The sequence below is a fragment of the Homo sapiens genome, chromosome 9 (assembly GCF_000001405.40).
Source record: "Homo sapiens chromosome 9, GRCh38.p14 Primary Assembly".
NCBI classification, from domain to species: Eukaryota; Metazoa; Chordata; class Mammalia; order Primates; family Hominidae; genus Homo; species Homo sapiens.
In genome coordinates, this window is record NC_000009.12 from 20767631 (window position 1) to 20791975 (window position 24345).

The 24345-nt window shown below is 37.1% G+C and overlaps 1 protein-coding gene and 1 non-coding gene across 20 annotated transcripts in view; both read left to right on the top strand.

The window, feature by feature from the left end:
- Nucleotides 1-24345, top strand: part of FOCAD (focadhesin) — a 340326-nt gene that overhangs the window by 112006 nt on the left and 203975 nt on the right. For all 19 annotated transcript variants that reach the window (XM_047423537.1, XM_047423539.1, NM_017794.5 and 16 more), the window contains 4 exons: nucleotides 2402-2608; nucleotides 11051-11138; nucleotides 14097-14299; nucleotides 21721-21978. In XM_047423537.1, the coding sequence (XP_047279493.1) occupies nucleotides 2402-2608; nucleotides 11051-11138; nucleotides 14097-14299; nucleotides 21721-21978 (756 nt within the window). The remainder of the gene's footprint in view (nucleotides 1-2401; nucleotides 2609-11050; nucleotides 11139-14096; nucleotides 14300-21720; nucleotides 21979-24345) is intronic.
- Nucleotides 19297-19425, top strand: SNORA30B (small nucleolar RNA, H/ACA box 30B). The gene has a single exon (NR_145762.1). It is a non-coding gene; the product is annotated as a small nucleolar RNA, H/ACA box 30B (small nucleolar RNA).

Genomic DNA, 24345 nt, shown 5'->3' on the forward strand with positions numbered 1-24345 from the left:
AAGTGTCTGTTCATGTCCTTCGCCCACTTTTTGATGGGGTTGTTTGTTTTTTTCTTGTGAATTTGTTTGAGTTCATTGTAGATTCTGGATATTAGCCCTTTGTCAGATGAGTAGGTTGCGAAAATTTTCTCCCATTTTGTAGGTTGCCTGTTCACTCTGATGGTAGTTTCTTTTGCTGTGCAGAAGCTCTTTAGTTTAATTAGATCCCATTTGTCAATTTTGTCTTTTGTTGCCATTGCTGTTGGTGTTTTGGACATGAAGTCCTTGCCCATGCCTATGTCCTGAATGGTGATGCCTAGGTTTTCTTCTAGGGTTTTTATGGTTTTATGTCTAATGTTTAAGTCTTTAATCCATCTTGAATTGATTTTTGTATAAGGTGTAAGGAAGGGATCCAGTTACAGCTTTCTCCATATGGCTAGCCAGTTTTCCCAGCACCATTTATTAAATAGGGAATCCTTTCCCCATTGCTTGTTTTTCTCAGGTTTGTCAAAGATCAGATAGTTGTAGATATGCGGCGTTATTTCTGAGGGCTCTGTTCTGTTCCATTGATCTATATCTCTGTTTTGGTACCAGTACCATGCTGTTTTGGTGACTGTAGCCTTGTAGTATAGTTTGAAGTCAGGTAGTGTGATGCCTCCAGCTTTGTTCTTTTGGCTTAGGATTGACTTGGCGATGCGGGCTCTTTTTTGGTTCCATATGAACTTTAAAGTAGTTTTTTTCCAATTCTGTGAAGAAAGTCATTGGTAGCTTGCTGGGGATGGCATTGAATGTGTAAATTACCTTGGGCAGTATGGCCATTTTCACGATATTGATTCTTCCTACCCATGAGCATGGAATGTTCTTCCATTTGTTTGTATCCTCTTTTATTTCCTTGAGCAGTGGTTTGTAGTTCTCCTTGAAGAGGTCCTTCACATCCCTTGTAAGTTGGATTCCTAGGTATTTTATTCTCTTTGAAGCAATTGTGAATGGGAGTTCACTCATGATTTGATGTGGTCTTACTTATACTGAGCACTAAGACAGAATCACATTTAAATTTTAAAATACAAGCTTTAGAAATAACCATGCAACCTTGTTGACCAATCATGAAAGAATGGTCAGTGAAACTCCTTTTTCTGTTTCTTCTCCTTCCAGTTGCTCTTTCATTTTATAGATGTAGAATAGTCCTTTTCATTTTAATTGCGACTCTTGTCACCTCACATATTACCTATTATATTATTAAATAATATATTTCTACATAAAGACAGAATGTTACTTCAAAATTATGCTTGTTTAGAACTTTGATAATGTTAAAGATTAGAGAGCCTTTAATGCTAGGTTGCTGAGATTGTCTTTTGAACCTTTTTTTGTTATGGAAAATTAGAAATGTACACATAAATGCACTCAAGGAAATATATTGTCAAGTAAACATTAGGCTTTATTTTAAATCCGTCTCTTCTCTGTGGCCTTTTGACTTTCCTACTGTGTGTTTGCAAGAGAGCAAAATAATTTATACCAGACTGTTTATTTTTTATAACAATGTTTTCTGCTATTTCTTCTCTTTGATCTTTTAATATCTTTTTTCTCTTGTTTGCTAGCAACTAATTTTTCTCTCTGTGTATAACTAATAGTCATTTGGGTTATTATGGTGATAACCACTGGTAAAAGGTACTGCCGGTCAACCGTAGGCTTTCTTCTTGATGAATTTAGCAGACATAGGCTCCTGATTGAAGCAGATGGTCCGTTGTTTGTAATCTCTGGGAAATGCCAATGTGTCTGTGAGCAGGACCATATCCTTAATACCAACTCCAGAATTTTGATCAGAACAGCTGGGTTTGAATTGCATTGGGATTTTCAAGAGCACCCAGGTCCTTCCTATCTAATACATTAGCCTGTTGAGAAGACACTCTACCATTTGAATATGGTCTTTTACTATATCTGCCAAGTGTGGAGATGATACTCTCAGTTAAGGCTGCCTGAGCAAGTATCTTGCAGATAAAGGGCTTAGTACCGTGTTAGAATAACATGCTGACTCTTTACTATCAGGTATCTATGTTGGAATTGTAGAAATGAGAGTTCATTTGGAGAATTCAAAACTAAACTTAATTTCCCTCAACATGTTGTCATTGTCATGTAACTTGTTTTAAGACATCTGCACTCAGACAAGCTAGAAAAATGAAAGAAAAGAAATTTGTACCAGCCAGCAGTAACAAAAACAGTAGCAAATTGGATTTTGGTTAATAACCAGAGGATAAGGTGCAGTTGTATAGTTAATCCTTCATGGAGTTCTGTAACTTTTTTTCATCTCCTTTAAGTCTTTATAGGTTTAGAGAAAAAATTACATTGTTCAAAGCTTTTTGTGTACTTTAAAATTATCTTTTGGTTTGTGTATTTTTTAATATCATATAATGACTTTTTTAAACAGGTAAAAGATTTGATACAGACAACAGAGGCGATGATGTTTATTGAGGAAGTATGTTTAAGCCTTTTGCGTCATCCTGTTTTCTGGAAAATTCAGCTTACCCAGATGAGTCTTCAGCTGCTGTGTGTCAGTGAAGTCAGCTTAAAGATAACTGGTGAATGTTCATCTTCAATTCACCTTTTAGAGCACAGTGTTGAACTTCTGAAGGAGGTAAGGATAGTAGTATATTATACTGTTCATGCATTGCTATTAAGAAATACCTGAGACTTGGTAATTTATAAAGAAATGAGGTTTAATTGGCTTACAGTCTGGCAGGCTGTACAGGATGCATGGTGCTGGCATCTGCTTAGCTTCTGGGGAGGCCTCAGGAAACTTACAATCATGGTGGAAGGTGAAGCAGGAGCCAGCACTTCACATGGCTGGTGTAGGAGTGAGAGAGAGGAGTGGCGAGATACTACACGCTTTTAAACAACCAGATCTCAATCACTATCACAAGAACAGCACCAGGAGGATTGTGCTAAACCATTCATGAGGAACACCTTTGTGATCCAGTCATCTGCACCAGACCCCACTTCTAACATTGGGGATTACAATTTGACATGAGATTTGGGCAGGGGCATAGATCCAAACCATATCAGATAGACGTTTTATTGTGTCAGTTATCACTCAAGTGAGTCTTTCAATAACTGGGTGGATCTGCTCATTTAGTTTGCATATTAGAGGCATTTTGATCTAATACCATTAGCGCATATTGCTATTGCACTACTGGTAATATCATTTATTAGAAAAAGAAATCATTAAAATACTCTTCGGATCATCAATTAAAGATCACCACTGTGACTTTTTTTTCATTTATTCATGCAGAACATATAGTAATATGCCAGGCTTTATAGAATACATAGATGAAAAGGTAAATTCTATGACCTCAAGAGACTTACAGACATGCAAATAACTAAATTATAGTACAATAAGAGAAAGGATTTTATGGGAGTATATTTAAAATGTAATGGGAGAACAAGTTTCAGGAGGTAGGGCATGAGTTGAGATTCGAAGACTGAATGGAATGTGCCTGGTACAAGGGCCTGGGAAGGGCATTCCAGCTGTAGAACAGCATGTGCCCAAATAGAGAGACATGAAAGAGTAGTCAGGCTTGGCTTATTCAAAAAAACAAGAGGATGTTGGGTATTGTTGAAGGATTAAGCTGTGGCAAATAGGGCTGGGCTTGTCTTCCATGCCACACAAATGAGTTTACATTTTATCCTCTAGGCAATGACATGCTGTTTGAGACCTTTCAGCAGATCTCATTTTTTAATGTGTGGAAGATCTTTCTCGTAGGAAGATGGAGGAGGGTTTGGGACCGCACACCACTAATAGGGTAGGAAGTGAGGAGGATGTCTTAGGCAGGCTACCACAGACTGGGTGGCTTAACCAACAAAAATGTATTTATTGGTTGGGTGCAGTGGCTCTCACCTGTAATCCCAGCACTTTGGGAGGCCGAGGCAGGCAGATTATGTGAGGCCAGGAGTTCGAGAGCAGCCTGACCAACATGGTGAAACTTCGCCTCTACTAAAAATACAAAAAATTAGCTGGGTGTGGTGTTGCATGCCTGTAATCTACTCATGATGCTGAGGCAGGAGAATTGTTTGAACCCTGGAGGCAGAGGTTGCAGTGAGCCGAGATTGTGCCACTGCACTCCAGCCTGGGCGACACAGCAGGACTTTGTCTCAAAATACATAAATAAACAAATAAAATTATTTCTCAAAGTTCTGAAGGCTGGAGAGTCCAAGCACAGGGTGCTGGCTGATTCTGTTCTTGATGAGGACTCTTAATGGCTTGCAGCTGGCTTTCCTCGCATGATAGGGAGAGTATGAGCTCTGTGGTGTCTTATGAGGATACTATCCAGATTGGATTATGGCCCCACCCTGATGACCTCACTTAACCTTAATGACTTCCTTACTCCAAATACAGTCACTTGAGGGTTAGGGCTTTAACAAATACATTTTGAGAGGACACAGTTCAGCCCATAGTGAGGGCCTAATGAGGGAAATGGAAGTGGGAAAAGGGAGACATAGAAGACAGAATCAGTAGGGCTTTATGATTGATTAGATGGTCAAGGAGAAGGGTCCTTGATAGAATCTCAGCTTTCTATTTTGGGCTACTGGATGATGCCATTCACTTTGAGAAATGGTAGCTGATGTTGGAGGGAAGATGATTAATTAGATTTCAGATATGCTTGACTTGAGGTATGTATGGATCATACATCGTTGGATATATGGTTTTGAAATTTAGGCTAGAAGTCTAGGCTAAAGGTGTACATTTGTAGACATTAACTTTGGGGTGGGGATTTTAAACACGGGACTGGGTGACAGGGCTTGTGGTGGAACTCTGGGGTGTTTGTGGTGGTTATTTGGAATTTACTGATAAAGAGGAATCTGAGAAAATATGTCTAGAAGGATCATATATAACCAGCAGAGACAGATGACAAGAAAATCAAGGGAAGGAATATCTCAATAAGAGGGAGTGGTCAGCAGTGTCATGTGTCATGGAGCGATGATGTAAAAGTAAGGGATGGAAAGTATTCTTAGGATATAGCATATAAAAGCTTATTGTTAACATTAGAGGGGCAGTTTCAGCAGGGTGGTGGTGGTTGGGGGGCGTGGAAATTGGAATTAAGGGAGTGTGAATGGCAGGTGAGGAAATGAGAGAGTAAATGTAGATTTTGATGGAAGTTGGGAGCCCAGGAAGACTCAAGTATTACAAGTCATTTGTCAATTTGCCAATCTTATGATTAGAATGATTTTATATATACTGGGACTCTAAATAACATGTTTTCTATTATACAGTTACATATGTATCTTATGTGTAGTAGATATATATATGTATAATATATCAGGTATAATTATATTTTACAGATATAATCATGTTATATATAATATAGATAGTATATAAATGCATATATAGATGTTTTATAGATAAATATTATACAGAAAGATATTTTATAGATCAGTATTATGTAGATAAATTGCCAGTTCTGTTAACTGTAAATGTAATATCCATGGGTAAAACCCATATTTTTCCTGGGTACTTTTAGTAGATTCATGTGAGTAGCAAGTATAATTTCATACAGTTTAGTCCTTTTTAGTATAATTCTCTGACCATTTTATTGTGTATTTCCCCCCACCTTTAGCATATATTTATTAAGCAGATGCCTATGGCAAACACTTTGCTATGGCAATTAGTTGAAAGCAGACAAGGTTCATGAAGCTTATGTTTTAGTCAAATGGTTCAAACTAGTGTGCATAAAAATCACTAGGCAGAGTTTGTTACAAATGCACATGCCTGGGCCTTATCCCTAATGATATTGAATTAGCAGGTCTGAGTGCGGCCCAAGTATTCTCTATTTTAAAGTAGCACCCACAGGTGATTTTTATCATTTATTTTGCACATAAGGCAAATAGCACATAGATCAAAACATAGAACTTTGAAACCATCACACAGCTCAAGAAATAGAGGTTTCTAGCCACCACAGAAGTTCTCCACAAGCCCAGTCCTATTCATAACCTCCTTTTTCCCCTGACTATTCAGACTTCTATAGTAACTACTTCCTTACATTTCTTTATAGTTTTGTCATCTCAGTGTGTATCTCTAATCACTGTAATATGTTTTGGGGTATGTGTGTGTGTGTGATCTTTTAAGTGTCTTTCCAATTAAAGGTCATCCCCTTTCGTTTCCTCCCCCACTTTTCTTCCCTGCAGTTTGTGTGCTGAATAACCTGGCTTGTGTGAGCTGGAGAGTTTCCTATCTTCTGGATTTTGCTGATTGCAACCGTATGGTGCCCTTTAATACAGTGGTCCCCAATGCCTGGGCCACAGACTGGTATTGGTTCCTTGCTTGTTAGGAACTGGGCCACACACAGGAGGTGAGCAGCCCAGTGAGCCAGCATTACTGCCTAAACTCCATCTCCTGTCAGATCAGCCGATGCATTAGATTCTCACAGGAGCATGAACCCTATTGTGAACTGTGCATGCGAGGGATCTAGGTTGTGTGCTCCTTATAAGAATCTAAATAATGCCTGATGATCTGAGGTGGTACAGTTTCATCCCGAAACCATTCCCTGCCCCAGGTGTGTGGAAAAATTATCTTCCATGAAACCAGCCCCTGGTGCAAAAAAGGCTGGGGACCACTGCTTTATGTGTTTCTCTGTTCAAAGGTAGTTAGCTCTAAAGGCTTGACTGGGTTCAGGATATTTTGTTTTTTGTTTCCAAGACTACAGGGGATGGTGTGTTCTGTCATCAAGAGGCACAATGTGTGTTGCTTTTCTTTTTATGATGTTAGTAGTTGTTGGTACGCAATGCCTAGTTCTATTAATTCATTAGGAGTTGCAGAGTGGTAATGTTCTAATCCTATCATTCCTTCTCCATTTATTAGCTGGAATACTTCCACAAAAAGAATACCCTTCCTCCAATAACCTACTAGTTGGTTATCCAGTGGTAAAGGAAAGTTAGAATAAATGCTGTACTCTTTTGCCTTTTTCTTTATTTACTAACTTTAAAAAATATTATGAATTCATGAATTTAAACATATTTGATGCACTTCAGTCTATCACAGATATTATCCATATTGAATTTTAAATTGTCTTATTTTGGCCACTGGGAATCTATTAATAAGTGGCTCTTGAATCTAATTTTTAAAATGTTTTTGATTATAATGTAGAGTCACAGGATACTAATGTCATTTAGAAGAATGAAAAGATTTTTGGTGAGGGAAGGTCCTATTTATGTCTCTCATTTGCCCAATGTTTTAGCAGTTTTAGAAGGAAATAACAATTAGTAGAACTGTTGAAATATTTGTGTAATGAAGTTTTCTGTCCCCCATCCCCATCTTAGTGTTCCTGAGGTTAAAAAAGTAAGCCTAGGAAAATTAATTTGTGAACATATGCTATAGGTCTATATGTACTACAATTTGAAATAAAATGAAGTAGAATGAAGTAGTCTTATGTATTTTGACACCATACCCACATTTCTGTATCGCTGGGTTTATCAGCTGGATGTCTTGTTCAAATATTATATTCACTTTTTCCTACTCTGTTCTCTTTCTACTCTTATATCAGCGTTGTATCATTGTACATTGAAAATGGATTTATTTCTTAGGCTGCATTAGTTTTTGTGGATTCGGTCTTAGTTGAGCCATTTTTAGCCTGATTAGAATAATCATAACTTAAGGTCCTTTCCATTTCAAGCAAAACAGATGTACCCTGACCAGCAAAATTAGGCAAAAATGATGCTCACTGGGAGGAGATTGGGTAGCTCTCGAAGTGAAGAATGAGTGAAACATTTCAGCATTGGGAAGGGTCGGAAACTTCCCAGCAGCACTACTGGCTGATGACTCAGTTCCAACCAACTTTCTTCACTGTGTGTCTCATTTTAAGTTTTCAGATTTTGTAGGAAAAATGATCTGTTTGGCCCATCTTGGCTTGATCAAGCTCTGGCCAGGGGAACAGAGTACGTAGCAAAGTTAGAGCACTGGAGGATTGTGTGGGTTGGGCCACCATCTTTGTTTTGTCTGCTACCTTCTCATGCCTTGTTTTCTCTTTAAAAATACTTTTCCATGACTATACTGTAAAATCCTTGAGAAAAGGGACTATTTTGTCCACAGTGGCATTCGTAGACCCAGCATATGTCCTTAGTGCCTGGTGCATAGGTGATGTTTAGTGCTATTTTCATTTGACTTGAGGACAAAAAGTATGGACTCCAGGTTGTTTTCTGTTACTGGGACTCCTCCGACATCTGTGGCTGAGTATAAAGGCATTTACTCATTTTTTGTATTTTATTTCATTTTTTAAAATTTCCTTATTTTATATATTTTATTTCCTTATTTATTTTATTGTATTTTATTTATTTATTTTATTTTCAGGCTCTGAGTTAGCCTGAGTTTCCCTAAAGGCAAAAGTAGAGCCTGGGTTTCCACAGAAGCAAAGGCTTATATGACTAGAGTTCATCTGACAATGTGATCCCAGCAAGCAGTTGGAGAGGGACAAAAGGAGTGAAGTATGGAAGGTGGGAGAGGCAATACAGGCATCATCAAGTAGGCTACTGCTACTAGTTGCTTGATCCCACAGAATCTTCTGAGAAGCCTTATGAAAGAAGGATCTGGAATTAATGGGAAAGCATTTATCTATGGGGTATTGTTGCCGATTTGTCAGCTTTGGCCTATGGGGCTTTAACTTCCTTGTACTTCTAGAGTGCGCTATTCTGGGGCAGGGAGCAAGAGGTGCATGGTGGAGCTTCAGGGGAGAACCATTAGGTTGCACCTGTGCAGAGCCAGTTACCACAGCAGTAGCTGTAGCATTTGAAGTGTGCAAAGGGGATGTCTGACACAGGGTTTTATTAAAAGATCTTATTAAATGGTACTATCCTTTGGTGTCCATTAAAAATCAATCAATCAAAAAACTTGTAACCACTAGACTTGTAAGCAGTTTAAGATTTATGTGGTCTAATCCTCCACCATTTACTTTTCCTTATTTTTGATCTTGAATCTCCACCTCTTTTCCATTCACCCTCTATTCTGAACAGGCCAGTCTCACCCTTCCTGGAGAAGGCCATTTTCATTTTTGCCTTCATACTTTTAAGTTCCATCCACTTAAAAATACTTCTGTTCCATTTCAGAACTCTAAAAAGCTACTTTATGGGCCTTGCAGTAATAGCTTGTGTGAAAAAGGCTTTCCAATAATAGCATTACTATACAGCAGTGCTTTTCTTTGTTGTTGATCGTTTTGGAATCTAGTAAATCTGAGGTTTAAGTGATCTTGTTGGTTTTCCTTTTGTTTTTTTATGGACATGCAGAAATTAAAATGAAATAGAGGAAGGTATAGCAAAGAATGGTATGATAGTATATACTGTAAGTGTGTTGGTTTCAAAATGCATGTATTATCCTCAAATAGATAAGAGTTGCTTCATTGTTTTCGACTGTATTTCAAAACAATGAACACATATATTCCTAAAATACATAGATTGGAATATATCCCATTTTTAAAAATTCACGAATTTTTTTCTTTTGTTGTTTTTTTTCAAAAGTCCATAAACAAGCACATGAGAGGATTTTGTAGGTTAATTTCACTCTTCAAATGGTAAAACTGAGATTTTAGAGGGTATTTGTTAGTTTGATAGTATCTTCAAGATTATAATTTCTGGGTATGTCAAATTATATTGTTTTCACTCAGGCAGGTGGTCCTTTAACATGTGGCTCTAACTTACAGATTTCCTTTTTTTCCTGTGGGTTTTTTTTTTTTTTTTTTTTGACTGTCTTTATTGTTCATAGGTACTTCTGCTCTGCAGGCACTTCTGTAAACTTCAGAATAGTCATTTTAGCTGAACCTTTCTTCTTTAGTGCCATAATACATTAAGATTTTCTTTATTTAGAAACCTCAAATAACATGTCTCTTGTGTTTTATTAATATTTATTAAAACCTAATATACACATCTTTTTTTCATTTTGTTTATATACTTGGTGAACTTAATGGTTTTCCATTTCTATGGTCATTGCTCTGCTACATTTAAATATGCTTAATGAATTACGGTAATTCGAAAATAATCTCTACCTCCCTGGCACTAATATTTCTTTTATTGTGACATGATTTACTAAAATTTGTTTAGTGTAATTCATTATGCAAGTTATATAGATGAATCATGTCTGTATTAGGTAAGCAGAAAATTGAACTACTTTTCAGAAATGAAATATTATTAAATTTAGTATTTTAGGCAACTTTCAATGGTTTTTAAAGATTGACTGTTTAGGCCGGGCTCGGTGGCTCACGCCTGTAATCCCAGCACTTTGGGAGGCCGAGGCGGGCGGATCACGAGGTCAGGAGATCGAGACCACGGTGAAACCCCGTCTCTACTAAAAATACAAAAAATTAGCCGGGCGCAGTGGCGGGCGCCTGTAGTCCCAGCTACTCGGGAGGCTGAGGCAGGAGAATGGCGTGAACCCGGAAGGCGGAGCTTGCAGTGAGCGGAGATCGTGCCACAGCACTCCCGCCTGGGCGACAGAACGAGACTCCGTCTCAAAAAAAAAAAAAAAAAAAAAAAAGATTGACTGTTTAGAAGACTTGCTGATCTGCTGTGTTGAGTTTTCCTCTGAATTATTTGGTTTATAGCATCTTGCTTTTTGGCCATATAATACATCATTTTGAATTTATGTGTGACTGTGTGGCATTGACTAATTCTTTCTTTTTTTTTGAGATGGAATCTCGCTCTGCCACCCAGGCTGGAGTGCAGTGGCACCATCTTGGCTCACTGCAACCTCCACCTCCTGGGTCAAGCAATTGCCTCCTGAGTAGCTGGGAAATTAGCCTGGCTAATTTTTTTGTATTTTTTTGATAGAGACGGGGTTTCACCAAGTTGGCTGGGCTGGTCTCGAACTTCTGACCTCGTGATCCACCTGCCTTGGCCTCCCAAAGTGTTGGCGTTACAGGCGTGAGCTGCCACGCCCGGCCGACCAATTCTTTCTTTAGTAGAGCACACTTGCTGTATAAATAAATTTGTGTAATAGGCTTGCAGTCTTTCATATTAAATATATTCTTCCTGGATACATGTTACAAAGCCATGATTCTGGGAACTTCTTTAACAACTCCTTTTTCCCCCTCTATTCTTTTAGGATTTTCCTGTTGAACTGGTCATAATTGGAATAGCTTTACTACTTCTACAGACTCCAGCAAGTCAGCAGAAGCCAATCTTAAATCTAGGTAAATAAAAATACAGTCACTAGAGTAAAATGTAAATATAACATGAGTATTGACAGGATTCACTTGAACTATGTATCCTGCTATCTTGTGTATTTTGAGTTTCCATCTGTAATTTTTAAAATTATTAAATAGAATTTTTTTTCTTGTCTAATAAGTTGTTACCTTGTGCAAGTTTTAATATAACATAATTTACCAAGTATCTCGGCTGCATGTTAGAGGTTATAATCTAACCTTATATGGCAGTAACATTCAGGAATATATTGAATGGCATAGCACCTTATTCAACATTGTACAGCAAAATGGAAAGCTTTAGTATAAAATCCTTGAAAGAAAAGTGTTTAGTAGTTGTAGTTATTTTTAAAACTCTCCATACCTTAACTATTCAAAATGTAAATCTAGCTAGAACAAATGAAAGATAATATTCTTTTGACAGTCCAGTATTGACTTAAAGAAAAGTGAAGGAGGGGGCCAAGGGTGGCAAAAATGTTCTAGTTAAGAAGAATGTGGTAAAGAAGCTAGTTGCCCTATCGGGCAAATAAGTCATACTTTTAAAATGTGGCTTTTACATTGGTGCTGCCTCACTTTACTTGGTCTGATCCAAAATAATCCACATAACAATGAGAGCTCTAAATTATGTTGTATAGTGCCATGATATGTTGATATGCTGCTGTTCTTAGTTTTAAAAAGTACGTGAGAGGCCAGGCACGGTGGCTCATGCTTGTAATCCCAACGCTTTGGGAGGCCGAAGTGGGTGGACCACCTGAGGTCAGGAGTTCGAGACCAAGCCTGGGTAATATGGTGAAACCCTGTTTCTACTAAAAATACAAAAAAATTAGCCAGGCGTGGTGGCGCATGCCTGTAATCCTAGCTACTTGGTTGGCTGAGGCAGGATAATCACCTGAACCCCGGAGGCAGAGGTTGTAGTGAGCCGAGATCGCGCCATTGCACTCCAGCTTGGGCAACAAGAGCGAAACTCCGTCTCAAAAAAAAAAAAAAGTGTGCGAGATAAATACTTATTGTATAGCTCATTCTTCTGGGCATTTTAATTCATGATTTTGGGAGTGAATTGCTCTTTCACCTACAGTGTGCCTTGGAAATGGCTTTAGCACATGGAGGGGATCCTTGGCTCCTAGGCTTTGATTCCTACCCTGCATTTGGCTACTGGCTTTATGTTCGCTTATACCTTCCCTCCACAGTCTGATCCGGTTTTTGCCTTTTTCTTATAGCAGTGCACATGGGATCTACCCAAAGGTATAATTTACCCGTGCTGGTACTTCTGACAGCAATAGTTTTCTTTTTTAAAACAGCTTTATTGAGGTGTAATTTACATACCATAAAATTCAGAATAAAGTGTTTTCTAGTAAATTTATAGATTTGTGCAACCAGCACCACTGTCTATCATCTGCCCAAAATTTCTTGTGATCATTTGTAGTTAATCCTCATTTTCACCCTCAGCTCCAGAGAAATACTAATCTGCTTTTTGTCTCTGTAGATTTGCCTTTTCTAGACATTTCATATGATTGGATTTTGTTTTCTGACAAAAAAATTCTAAAGCCTCAGAAAATCCACATTTCAAATTCTGAAGCTATGTTCTTATATTGTGGTTCATGTGTAAGAGAAAGATAATACAGTATCAAACAGTCAAATACTTTTATTATTTCCTGGTTAGCAGACTTTTTCTTTCTCTCGTAAACCAATATCTCTGATTTGAAGTTACCTTAGAGTGAATAAACTGTACTGAACACTGCTAAGCCAATATATCATGTTGGAAAGTAAGGAAGAACTGTGGGGAAAGAGTATTCAAAGAAATAGGATAACCAAGAGAATATTGATTATTCCAAATTTAAAAGATTTATTTATACATTAATTTTTATATTAATGTAATATTACACTATGTAGTTGTTAACTGTAGCCTTGATTACAAATAGCAATTTATAAAAATGCCTGGAATATTTAGATTTATAATTTAGGCTATTAAAATACTGCTATTATATTCATTTCCTGTTATATTAAAGATAATGGATTTTCATAATATCTCAGAAACAATTATGGATTAAGACCAATATTTAGGCAAGAAAAGTAAATTAGTAGTGTTAGAGTAACAGGTGTTTGTACTTAATATCATGTTAAGGTTTGACCTCCAGATGATGTAAAATAGAATGCTGACAACTCATTGACATGATTCAAGGCTTGTAGAATTTTTGCTGTAGTGGGGAAATCAGTTGAATATTTTGATAATTTAACGTTGAATCCCCTGAATAACATCTTTTAGTAAATCAGGGTTAATTACATCACTTTGAAAAAAATATTGTGAAAAAAGTATATTTATGCCTTAACTCATTCAGTTAATAGTCTAGAGACTCTACATGTAAATCAGTTATTGTATAACTGTATGTATCTGGTGTGTAAGTTGTTTCCATGTTAAAGAACCATTCACTAATTTTTTTTGTTGTTGTTATTTTGGTTCTGGACTTTGGGACTTTCACAATCTGCTTCTTAGCAATTACAGCTGAAGGGCAGTCCTGCTTCACTTTGCTGTTTACTTAAGCATCTGCTAATAGGATTCTTAGCTGCCTTTGTAAAGGAAGCATGTATGTTGGGCTTGTTAGCCACTGATCCAGGAATTCTTGGTCTCTTAGCTCTGTTTGCTGAGGGCAATACTAGCATCTCAGAGGATATTAAGGGCAAATGTTGAATTGTATTTTTTAAAAAATTCATATTAACCTAAAAGAGTATCATCAATTTTTCAGTTATATATGTTAACAGCTTATTTTATATAATAGTTTATTTATACTCCTTTTATTTCCTTTTAGGATAAGATTTATCAACCTAGTTATGTGTCTGACCCAGTTATAAAAGGGAAGAAAACTTTCTTGCATATCATTCTTAAGCAAAATTGCATTTTGTTTGACTGTGGTATTAATTTTTAAAAATGTGCATTATTGTTTTGATGAATAGCTTTGAAGCTCCTCTCTGTTACTGAGGATCAGAAAATCCCAAAGTCCTCTCTGCTGCTAGTGATGCCAATTCTGCAGATACTATCTTCTACTGCCTTGGAAGACTGTATATCTGTGGATGAAGAAGGTCCCTCTAGGCAGCAGTTGGCTCTAAACCTTTTGGAAATGATACAGCAGGAATGTTACAGAGATGACCACCAAAAGGTAATGAATCTATCCTTGTTTCTCTTAAATAAAGTGTCGATGTGGGATTTCGGTCTTTACGGATAATCTTGCCTCCTGATGAAGCATCTGTTTGTTATCAGACTTCACCATTCAGTCAGGTAGTGCTGTTGGAGATCTCAACATATTCTTCTGGACTATAAGAAGGGATAGTAGTCCTGTTGTGAAATAAGTTTGAAAATGCTATATGATCTTTTTTTTCTCTGAAAATCCAGTGCACAATACTAGTTAAAGATCCTGAAGAGTTCTTCAGAAAAGGAACTAATGCTTCTCAAATATATTTGAACATGGAATCATTTTTTAAAATTATACTGTTAGTTAAGTACAGCATATTGCTAGATCTGAGATAATCCAAGGTGGGAAATAGTCCTCAAATGCCTGGAAGTTCTCATATCAGTAAGAACTAAAACTTCTTTATTTAATATGGCACCTCTTGCCGTGTTCCCTGGCATAATGGCTCTCGATGTCCCCTGTGTATGCCCCTATTCTGCTGCCTCCAACTGGAAGACAACAGGCCTGCCACATTCCGTTTCCAATCCTGCCTGCCTCATTCCGCTTTTTCAGTCTTGCTTTTCCTGTTACAATAACGTGAAAGTGTTGTCATGGTTTGGATATTGGTTGGGTTCTAGGCCTAGATTTACCAGACTTTTTTTGTTTTGATATTTGAGTTTTGCCTTTATCAAAATGAAACATTATTTCCCAGCTCCTCTTATGGGGATGAAATGAGGATTGAATAAGATAAAGCTGGTGAAGCATCTTAAATCTCCATGAAGAGAGGCACTATGTAAATACAAACTGGAGTGATGGTTGTGGCTTCATCTGCAAAAGCAGAGATACCTCTTATGTTAAATGCTCCAGCAGCACAAATCCAGTCATTATTAGTTCTTGTTTGAGCATGTAGCAGAAACTGGCCCATAATTATAGGCAAATTGAATGTATACTACAGCTTCCTAAATCCTAATTGTTTGACTAAAACTTTAAAACTTGAAACAGGTAATCGATTTGAATTGAGAGAGAAGTTCTTGCATCAGCCCTAATAGGAGTACAAAATCCGATCAAAAAATTCTAGTAGCTTTTTTACTTTACCTCTTGGTTTGCCCATGTAGAACAATGATTGGATCTTGAATGGGAGTGGGGGCAGGGCAAGAGTTGGCAGGGCAAGAGTTCTGCTCCTTTAAATCACAAGTGTTATTTACTGAGGATCACCCCAACTCTAATACATAAGTACTTGGTTTACTATTTGCTCAGATGTGTGTGAATCTTATTATTAACACTAATATCTGGACTTTCTCTTTAGCAGCTGGTAAAGAGGAGGGGCAGAATTACTATTAGGGCTGTAAATATCCTCCTTATGATACTGTGTTGCTTTAAGGAGGCTTTGAGTAGATATATGATCACTGTTTTAAAAAATGTAAGCCACATTTTACTGTTGGCTTTTTTTTTTCCTGCACCTATCTGGAACTTTACATTCCAGTCACACCTATGAATTTAACATGCCCCAAACTCTTCAAGTCTCTTCCTGAATCTTTGCTTCTGCACAGAATGCTGTTTTATGTCAGCTGCCTGAACTATTCATCCTTCAAGACTCAGCCAAATGTTCTCAGCCTCCCTGAGTCAAGATTATTTGACTATTGGATTTTTTTTTTTTTTTGAGACGGAGTCTCACTCTGCCACCTAGGCTGGAGTGCAGCGGTGTGATCTTGGCTATTAAATGTGATATTTAAAACTACCTATTTCATTCTCCCCAGGCAAAATAAATAAATAAATATTAAAAAAAGTAAAAAAAATTGAACACTAATTGTAAATTCTAAAGGGCTTGAAACATTCTGCTTCCTCCTTGTTCTCCTCCACTCCCGCAAGAGAATGTGGGGGATAAAAGAGAGAATGCATTCAGTATATGAGTCAGATTCCAGTCAGGAAAGAGAAAACACACTGGCAATTTGAACAAGGAAAACTTAATGCAATGAATTATTAGCAAGAGGTGTTTAGTTATAAAACCTTATAAAAAAGCATCTAAGGAATATTACAGTAGTAAATGTAGGGAGCAGCTACTACCTCTAAGCTAAGACCAAGGCAGAGTTCCCAAGGAAGGAACTAAAAAGTCTCCCCAGACAATGCTGAGAGTCAGACCTGGTAGGAGAGAATGTGGAGAAGGCCTACTGGATGATATAGTCTGCTGGGGTGCCATAGGCTAGAACTGGTCCACAGGAAACCACTTGTCGTGTGAGCAGGCTGGAATTGGCTGAGCTGGTCCACTGGAAGCCACCTCTGGGATATCCTGTATGTCCCTAGCAGCCATGGTAGGAGGAATCAAAGAAGCACACAGGAACCTGAAGAGAAGCCCCTTCTTCCTTTCCTTGCAGTGTCTCTCCTATGCTCTCTATTGACAAGGTCTAACACTAGACCAGAGGGCAAAGGAGAAATGTTGAAAAGGCACAGCTGTAGGATCACATAGTCAGGCAAAGAAGAGTGGGTGTGGAGCTGAGAGGTAACACATTGAGTAACTGGCTCAGGAAGTAAGAAAGAATCGGAAAAGTTTTTTTGGAGGGGAGTAAGGGTGGATGGGTGAGATGAAGTGGAAAAGGAGACTTAAAAGCTAAATTCTTGTAATTGTACAGGAGGGCAAAATTCATCTTTATGAAACTGTTTTAGTCAGCATAACAATTTAGAGACAGCTTGACTGAGCTGGGGTCTACCATGTGTTTATTCATTCTTATGTGTTTTTAAAAATTAAATATGGTACTTTTGGGTCTTTGGTAATAAAGCTGTGCCAAGTAGATTTTATTTGAAATTGCTTTGAAGTAGTATATAGTAAGCAGAATATTTGTTTCTTAAAAATCAGAAAATTCGCAAGGAATTGTCATTGTCCTACTTATGGCTAAAGTTAACATTTATTGAACATGTGTGATATGCCAGGAGTTATTATGTGGGCCAACTCGTATTTCTTACAATAACTATGAAATAGATGTCTTTTCTTTCTTTCTTTTTTTTTTTAATCTATTTCCAGCTGTGTGGCCTTGGACTAGTGACTGAATCTGTGTGGTATCTGGGCCCTGGTAAAATGGGCAACAAAACACCCCCTTCATGGGGTGGTTTATTGAGCATTTCATATGTGCAGGCTTCATTTTAAGTACTTTGGTATATATTAACTGGTTTGATTTTATCTCACACTCTTTGAAGTAGGTAAAATTATTGATCTCATTTTACCTAAGAGTTAACTGAGGCATAAAGAAGGTAAATAACTTACTGTCATGCAGTGGGAACCCAATTCTTTTTTAATAGCTTTATTGAAATGTAATTCACATGCGCCCTTCCCTCATTTAAAGCATGCAATTCAGTGGCTTTTAGTATATTCGCAGCATTGTATATTCATTACCACAATCCACTTTAGAACATTTTTATTTTTATTACCCTAAACAATCCCTGCACTCTTAGTCATCACTCCCTAATTCCCCCCTTTTTTCCTCACCCCTCAGGCTAGGCAGTCCCTAATCTGCTTGTAGTCTCTATATGGATTTGCCTATTCTAGACATTTCCTTCAAGTATAATCATACAATATGTGGTCCTTTGTGACTGGCTTTTTTCACTTAGTATAATGTTTTCAAGGTTTGTCCATGTTGTAGCATGTGCCATGTAGCAGTGCCTCATTTTCTCTTAGAGCTGACTAATATTCCATTGTATGGATACCTTACATTTTACTTTCCTTTTCTTTTGTTGACGAACTTTTGGCTCTTTCCCACTTTTTGGCTATAATGCTGCTATAATCATTCATGTATCAGTTTTTGTGTGGACAAATGTTTTCATTTCTCTTGAGTAGATACCGAGGAGTACAACTGCTAGGTAAGGTGATAACTCTATGTTTCACAGTTTGGGGGAATGGCCAGATTGTTTTCCAAAGGGGCTGCACTATTCTATATTCCCACCAGCAGTGTATGAGGGTTCCAGTTTCTCCCTGTCCTCGACAATTGTTGTTATTGTTTATCTTTTTGATGGTTACATCCTAGTAGGTGTGAAGTGGTATTTCATTGTGGTTTTGTTTTGCATTTCCCTGATGGTATTCTTAAAATACTTATTTTACAAGCCGGGAAACTGAGATTAGAGCGGTTAACTTTTCTGGATTACCCAGGTAGTGAAGGGTAGAGTTGGAATTCAGATTTTGACTGTTTGATTCTAGGGCCTGAATCCTGTTACCTGCACTTTCATTTTGTTTTCTTTCTTTGTTTTTTTGGCACAATATTTTATCATCTTTGTGCTGAACTTGGGCGTAAATAACAGTTCCATTTCAGATTTACAGGGGAACAAACTGTGATAATAGTAAATTGAAATAAACTTTTTTTAGACTTCTGATTGGAACTTAAAAAGGAATTAGTAAGTCTTAGATGTTGTGCTTCTATCATCATCTTCTGAAAGACATGGGACTGAGCATGTTGTGTGTTATCTCTTGGTTATAACCAACCACTCCCAAATCTCTCAGCTCTTGTCTAGAGTCTTCATAGTGATATAGTGCTAGAAAGGCTCTCTTGAGGGTTTATGTAGTCCAGTCTTCTGCTGCTTGACTGATGAGTGATTAATATCCTCTAGCAAAAATCTATCTTACTTTTAAAGGTCTATATGTTTGAGTTCCTATATCCACTCTACTTTTGTTAAACCTGTTTTAGTCACTATTATAGATTAGTGCCATTCTTTACAGTTAATGAAAATCAATATTGTTCACAATTTCTTTTTCAGACCTGTTTTGACAAAGAAGTACTATCAGATGTTTATCTTATTGTTACTACTTAATGTGTCTGCACATTTTTATTAAATGCTTTTTAAAATAAAGATTCTCAATTATTTTCTACCTGTAAAAGATGTCTTACAACCACCCAGTATTTATTTAAATGTATTTTTCTGTGGTTTATTTTTTATTGATATATAATTCACATAACATAAACCTTTTATTTTTAAACACCTACTTCCTCCTCTAAAAGCAAAGCTTACTAGCATTTTCACAGGTCCTCCCTCAGGCTATGGGGCCAGGATTTGGTAGCTGGTGCTGAGAGAAAACGCTTGATTGCATCCTTGCCCTGGGACTGTGCCAGTGGCAGCTGTCACTCAATGGGACAATTTCTCCTGCTGCTCTAACCTTAGGCAAACAAACAAACAAACAAATAAACAAACAAACTTAAGAGCCTAAACCTGGACATAACAGTTCAAGTAACCTAGGATTGCTTTTCTGTTTCATTGTTTACTCTTACATGTCTCTGTTATGTTGTTGCTTTTACTCAACTTGAGGTTCATGGTAATTTCCAAATTATATTCATTTACATAAGTTTTATTTTTCTCTCCGGAAGATGACAGCAATACTATTTACCTGTATTTTGCAACTTCAGGCACTGTGCTAGGTGTTTTATAGATATTATAACCTAAGCAGGAAAGTAGTCATTTCTTAAATTTTACAAACGAGTAAAGAGAGGCTTAGAAAAATTGCATAATGGCTGATAGCTGGCATGGCTATCCTGAAGTCCTGGCCCTTTAAATTTTATGGTGTTTGTCATTAGTCTAAAAACCTTGGCCATGGTTGTTAATGAATTTCTTCTTCATGGGAAGAAAAATATTTTTAGAGAGCTAGAGCTATATAAACTTAGATATTATTTAATTTTTAAAATTTGTAACTTTCTTGAAATAGTAATATATTCAAATGGTTCAGACAGTAGAAAATTGCATATAATGAATGCAGCCTTCTTGCCTTTGATTCCAGCTGTCCAATTTTCACTCCCCAAAACAGAAGATGATTTAGTGGTTACTAATTTCTTCTGTATTTGTCCACATACTTTTCTTTGCATGTACAAGCAACTACAAATATATTATCTTTTTCTCCTCACTCTCTTTGAAAAAAAAAATTGGTAGCACTCGAGTCATACTATCTGTATCTTATATTTTCACTTGGGGGAATCTTTTTATATCAATACAGTGAGAGCTTCCTCATTTGTTTTTACTGTGACATTTAATTGTCAAAGAAATTGCATATCTACTCTTAGGTATATACTCAAGAAAACTGAACACTTATAACCTCAGAAAAAATTTATAGGAGTGTTCATAGCATCATTATTCATTATCGCCAAAATGTGGAAACAACCCAAATATCCATCCATTGATAGTGGATAAACAATATAGTGTATCCATACAATGGAATATTATTTGGCAATAAAAAGAAATGAATTATTGATAGAAGTAACAACATGGATGAACCTTGAAATCATGCTAAGTGAAAGAAGCTGGTCACAAAGGACCACATATTATGTGTTTCCTATTATATGAAATGACCAGTATGGAACCAGAGTAGATTAGTTGTTGCCAAGGGCTGGAGGAGGGTTGGGGGAGTAAGGAGTGACTATCAGTGGGTATGGGATTTTTGTTTGGGTTGATGAAAATGTTCTAAAATTAGATAGTGATGATGGTTGCACAGCTCTAGGAATGAATTACTAAAATCCAGTAAGTTATAAACTTTAAAAGGGTGCCTTTTATAGTATGCAAATTATATCTTAATAAAGCTGTTATTTAAAAATTTGATAAAGCTTAACTTTTACTTTCCATCCTTTCAATTGTTATCCTAATTCATATAAGTCAGCCTCTATTAACCAGACAGTTATAATCCAGAGATTTCCAGTCTGTCACAAAGCACTATACATGATTTGAGTTACTTTATTAGCAAGCAATGTCTAATGATTCTTTAACGTCTGCCACTTCTGAGCTGTTTATTTACAGAGCTCACCTTGGCTACCCTCTGGCCCCGACTGCACTGCTTTATTTCTGTGAGGAGCCATTTCTCAGATTAATTTAGCATAATATAATCTCTGGGTATTGTTTCAGCTTAGAGCTGTCAGGCCATTTCCTATTGCAGAAGTTACAATTATTAATGAATTCCCAGGCTCCAGCTGAACCAACTTTGTTCCTATCAACATACTGTCTGTTACAGAAATGAATTGTCCTCAGTCCAAGTCTGCCATCTGCCCCAGACTGCTTCTGCCTAGGGCCTGGAGCTGGGCAAATACAGTATTTTTTTTTTTTAATCTTTCTTCTCATTGGTGAATACTTTTTTAGTGATAATGGCTTTTTCCAAATGCAATTGCCTCTGGATTTTGTATATTGATCCATATATTCTGCCTTAATGGGGAATGAATGGTAAATATGAGGAAAAGTTGTGATAAAACTCTTCTGGAGTTCCATCTAACAACTCTTTTCTCTTTGTGTAATCCTATTACCTCAAATATGTGCAGAGAGGATTTTGGCAGTAATTCAATTTGTATTCATTTTGTTGGAAGGAGTGATATCTTACAATGAAATATAAGAATGCCAGAAACATATTTCTGACAAATATATTTATCTCACTTATTTATGCCTCTCTTGTCTTTATTTTTCAGCTCTCCTACAAGCTTGTGTGCCCTGTAACCAGTATGTATGGTACAATATTTACAGCCTGGAGGATTCTTGAAGTAATGACAGACTCGTCTGCTGCAAGTGACTGGTTGGCTTCAGTAGAGTCATTGCTTCCTATTACTGCTGTGATCCCTGCGCCTGCCTTTCTTCTGCTGGCTCACCTCCTTGTTGAAGACAAAGGACAAAATCTTCACCAAATACTCAAGGTCACTACAGAATTAGCCCAAGCAGATTCCTCCCAGGTAAAGCAAGAGAATAATGGAACAATAATGAGAGGAAAGCTTAATCATTGGAAATGTAGATTATTCCTGCTTTGTGGATTATTTGCATCAGAGTTTTAAATTATGGGTTGATGATTTTTTTTTTTTTTGCTATCTTTATCCTTCCATTTTTTTCTTCTTTTTCCTTACTCTGAGTTGATGTATACTTAATGATGCAAACAGTTTTTAAATGAAAGCACACTTCACAACGAAATCTGCACATGGTGCTATTCTGGTTCTTCCAATTTTTTGGTGGATTTGCTATTTTGTAATGCTTTTGCTAACTCTTGGAACCTATTCCAAGATACATATCCATTAGTTCTAATGTTGATCATTTAAAGTGGACACAGATTAATCAATTCAGGATAAGGGAGCCTATACAATAGACATTAATATCTTTTTAACTTCTTGCAGTTTGATACTATCTTTATTGAGTCATTTAATAGCTAAAAAATATTGACTCTTTGCTATATATGGTACGGATCTGCATGCTAGGATATGAGGGTAAACAATTTTTCTTCCTAACTGCACAGAACTTAGGATGTAATGAGAAAGCAGTCAGGCATTAATAAGACTTCTTTCCCCAGCCTTTTACACTAACCACATATTTAGCATAATAACCTGTGACTTTTTTTTTCTCCAATTGATAGAATCTCTAGAATGCATTTCCTATAAAGGAAAGGTTTTCTAATCAAGTAGTTTTGACATTTTTGTTATCCTCTCTTTATTAGTATCTGTGCTTGTGTTTCTTTTCAAGAATGATGAAGAAACCTTCCATCTCCCAATGGAAAAGTGATGTGTTCCTAGAGGAAAAAATTTGATGGTAGAAAACGGGCAAATGTGTTTATCTGAGATATGAAGTTAACTGAGTGCAGTGACTTACGCCTGTAATCCCAGCACTTTGGAAGGCTGAGGTGGGCAGATCACTTGAGGTCAAGAGTTCGAGACCAGCCTGGCCAACATGGCGAAACCTTGTTTCTACTAAAATTCAAAAATTAGTCGGGTGCAGTGACATGCACCTGTAATCCCAGCTGCTCAGGAGGCTGAGGCAAGAGAATTACTTGAACCCAGGAGGTGGAGGTTGCAGTGAGCCGAGATTGCGCCACTGCACTTCAGCCTGGGACTCTGTCTCAAAAGCAAAAAACAAAAACAAAAAAACAAAACAGATATGAAGTTAATGTATTTGGAATTCCTTTTTAACCTCAAATTGTCATACTCATTCCTTTTTGTCATGTAAACAACTGCTGATATCTCACAAAGAGTTTTCACTCTGACTGGACCTCATCTGTTCTGATTCTGCAAGTGGATCTGTAATGTACTCAAAATACTTTTGTTTCATGGTGTATGCGTAATGTGAATCAGTTTAACTTGCTTTCTGCTTTATCTCTCCTTTTATTTCCTGTAGTGATCCTGCTTCTAACCAATGTTTTCTTTCAGTGTTGACACTTGGTAGGATAATCTCTAGAATAGTTAATGCAGATAATGCCTGGAGATTATCTAAAGAAGGATTCCCTTGAAGTTATACAGTGGGTTACCTTGATCTGTCTACACCACTGACAGAAAACATATATTGCATCTATATATATATGCATGCACACACACACACACACTCACACACACACACACACACACACACAGGAAATTTGATCCAGCATGATGCTTTAGATTGTAAGTAACAGAAACCCATCTTAAGCTGCCACAAAGTTTTTTCCCCTTTATTTTTAGTTCCCAATTAATAATTGTACATACTTATGGGATACAGAGTGATATTTTGATACAGGTATAAAATGTGCAATGATCAAATCAGGGTAATTAATAGTATATCCATCACCTCAAACATTTATCATTTTTGTGTGTGCATGTTGGGAACATTCAAAATCCTTTCTTCTAGTTTTTATTACCTCTAGTATTTAGAACATTCATGGTCTGGGCAGTATTTTCAAGGTACAGTTTCTTTCCTCTGTGAATTAGCTGGAAGCCCAAAGCCTTATAACCTTATATTCAAAATTCAAAAGGAAGAGAGAAGTAAAGAATGCTCAGATTGGCCTTGCTTAGGTCATGTGTTTACATTGGACTAACCATCATGATGGGATAATGGGGCACTTTACTTGGCCATCCTGGGTAGAATAGAAGTAGGTGAAGTATCAGGTCTAAAATTGTTTCTGCCACCAGGTTCATGTGGAATGGGGTGAGATGGTCCCCCAAAGGAAGGATAGATAGTGTACTCATCATAGAAGTGGAAATGTGCAAAATAGGCAAAAAATGTAAAGCAGAACTTCTCAGTTTGTCTTTTGGGGGACACTGAAATGCTGTATATGTGGTAGGTGTGCCGAGATATTATCCTGTCTC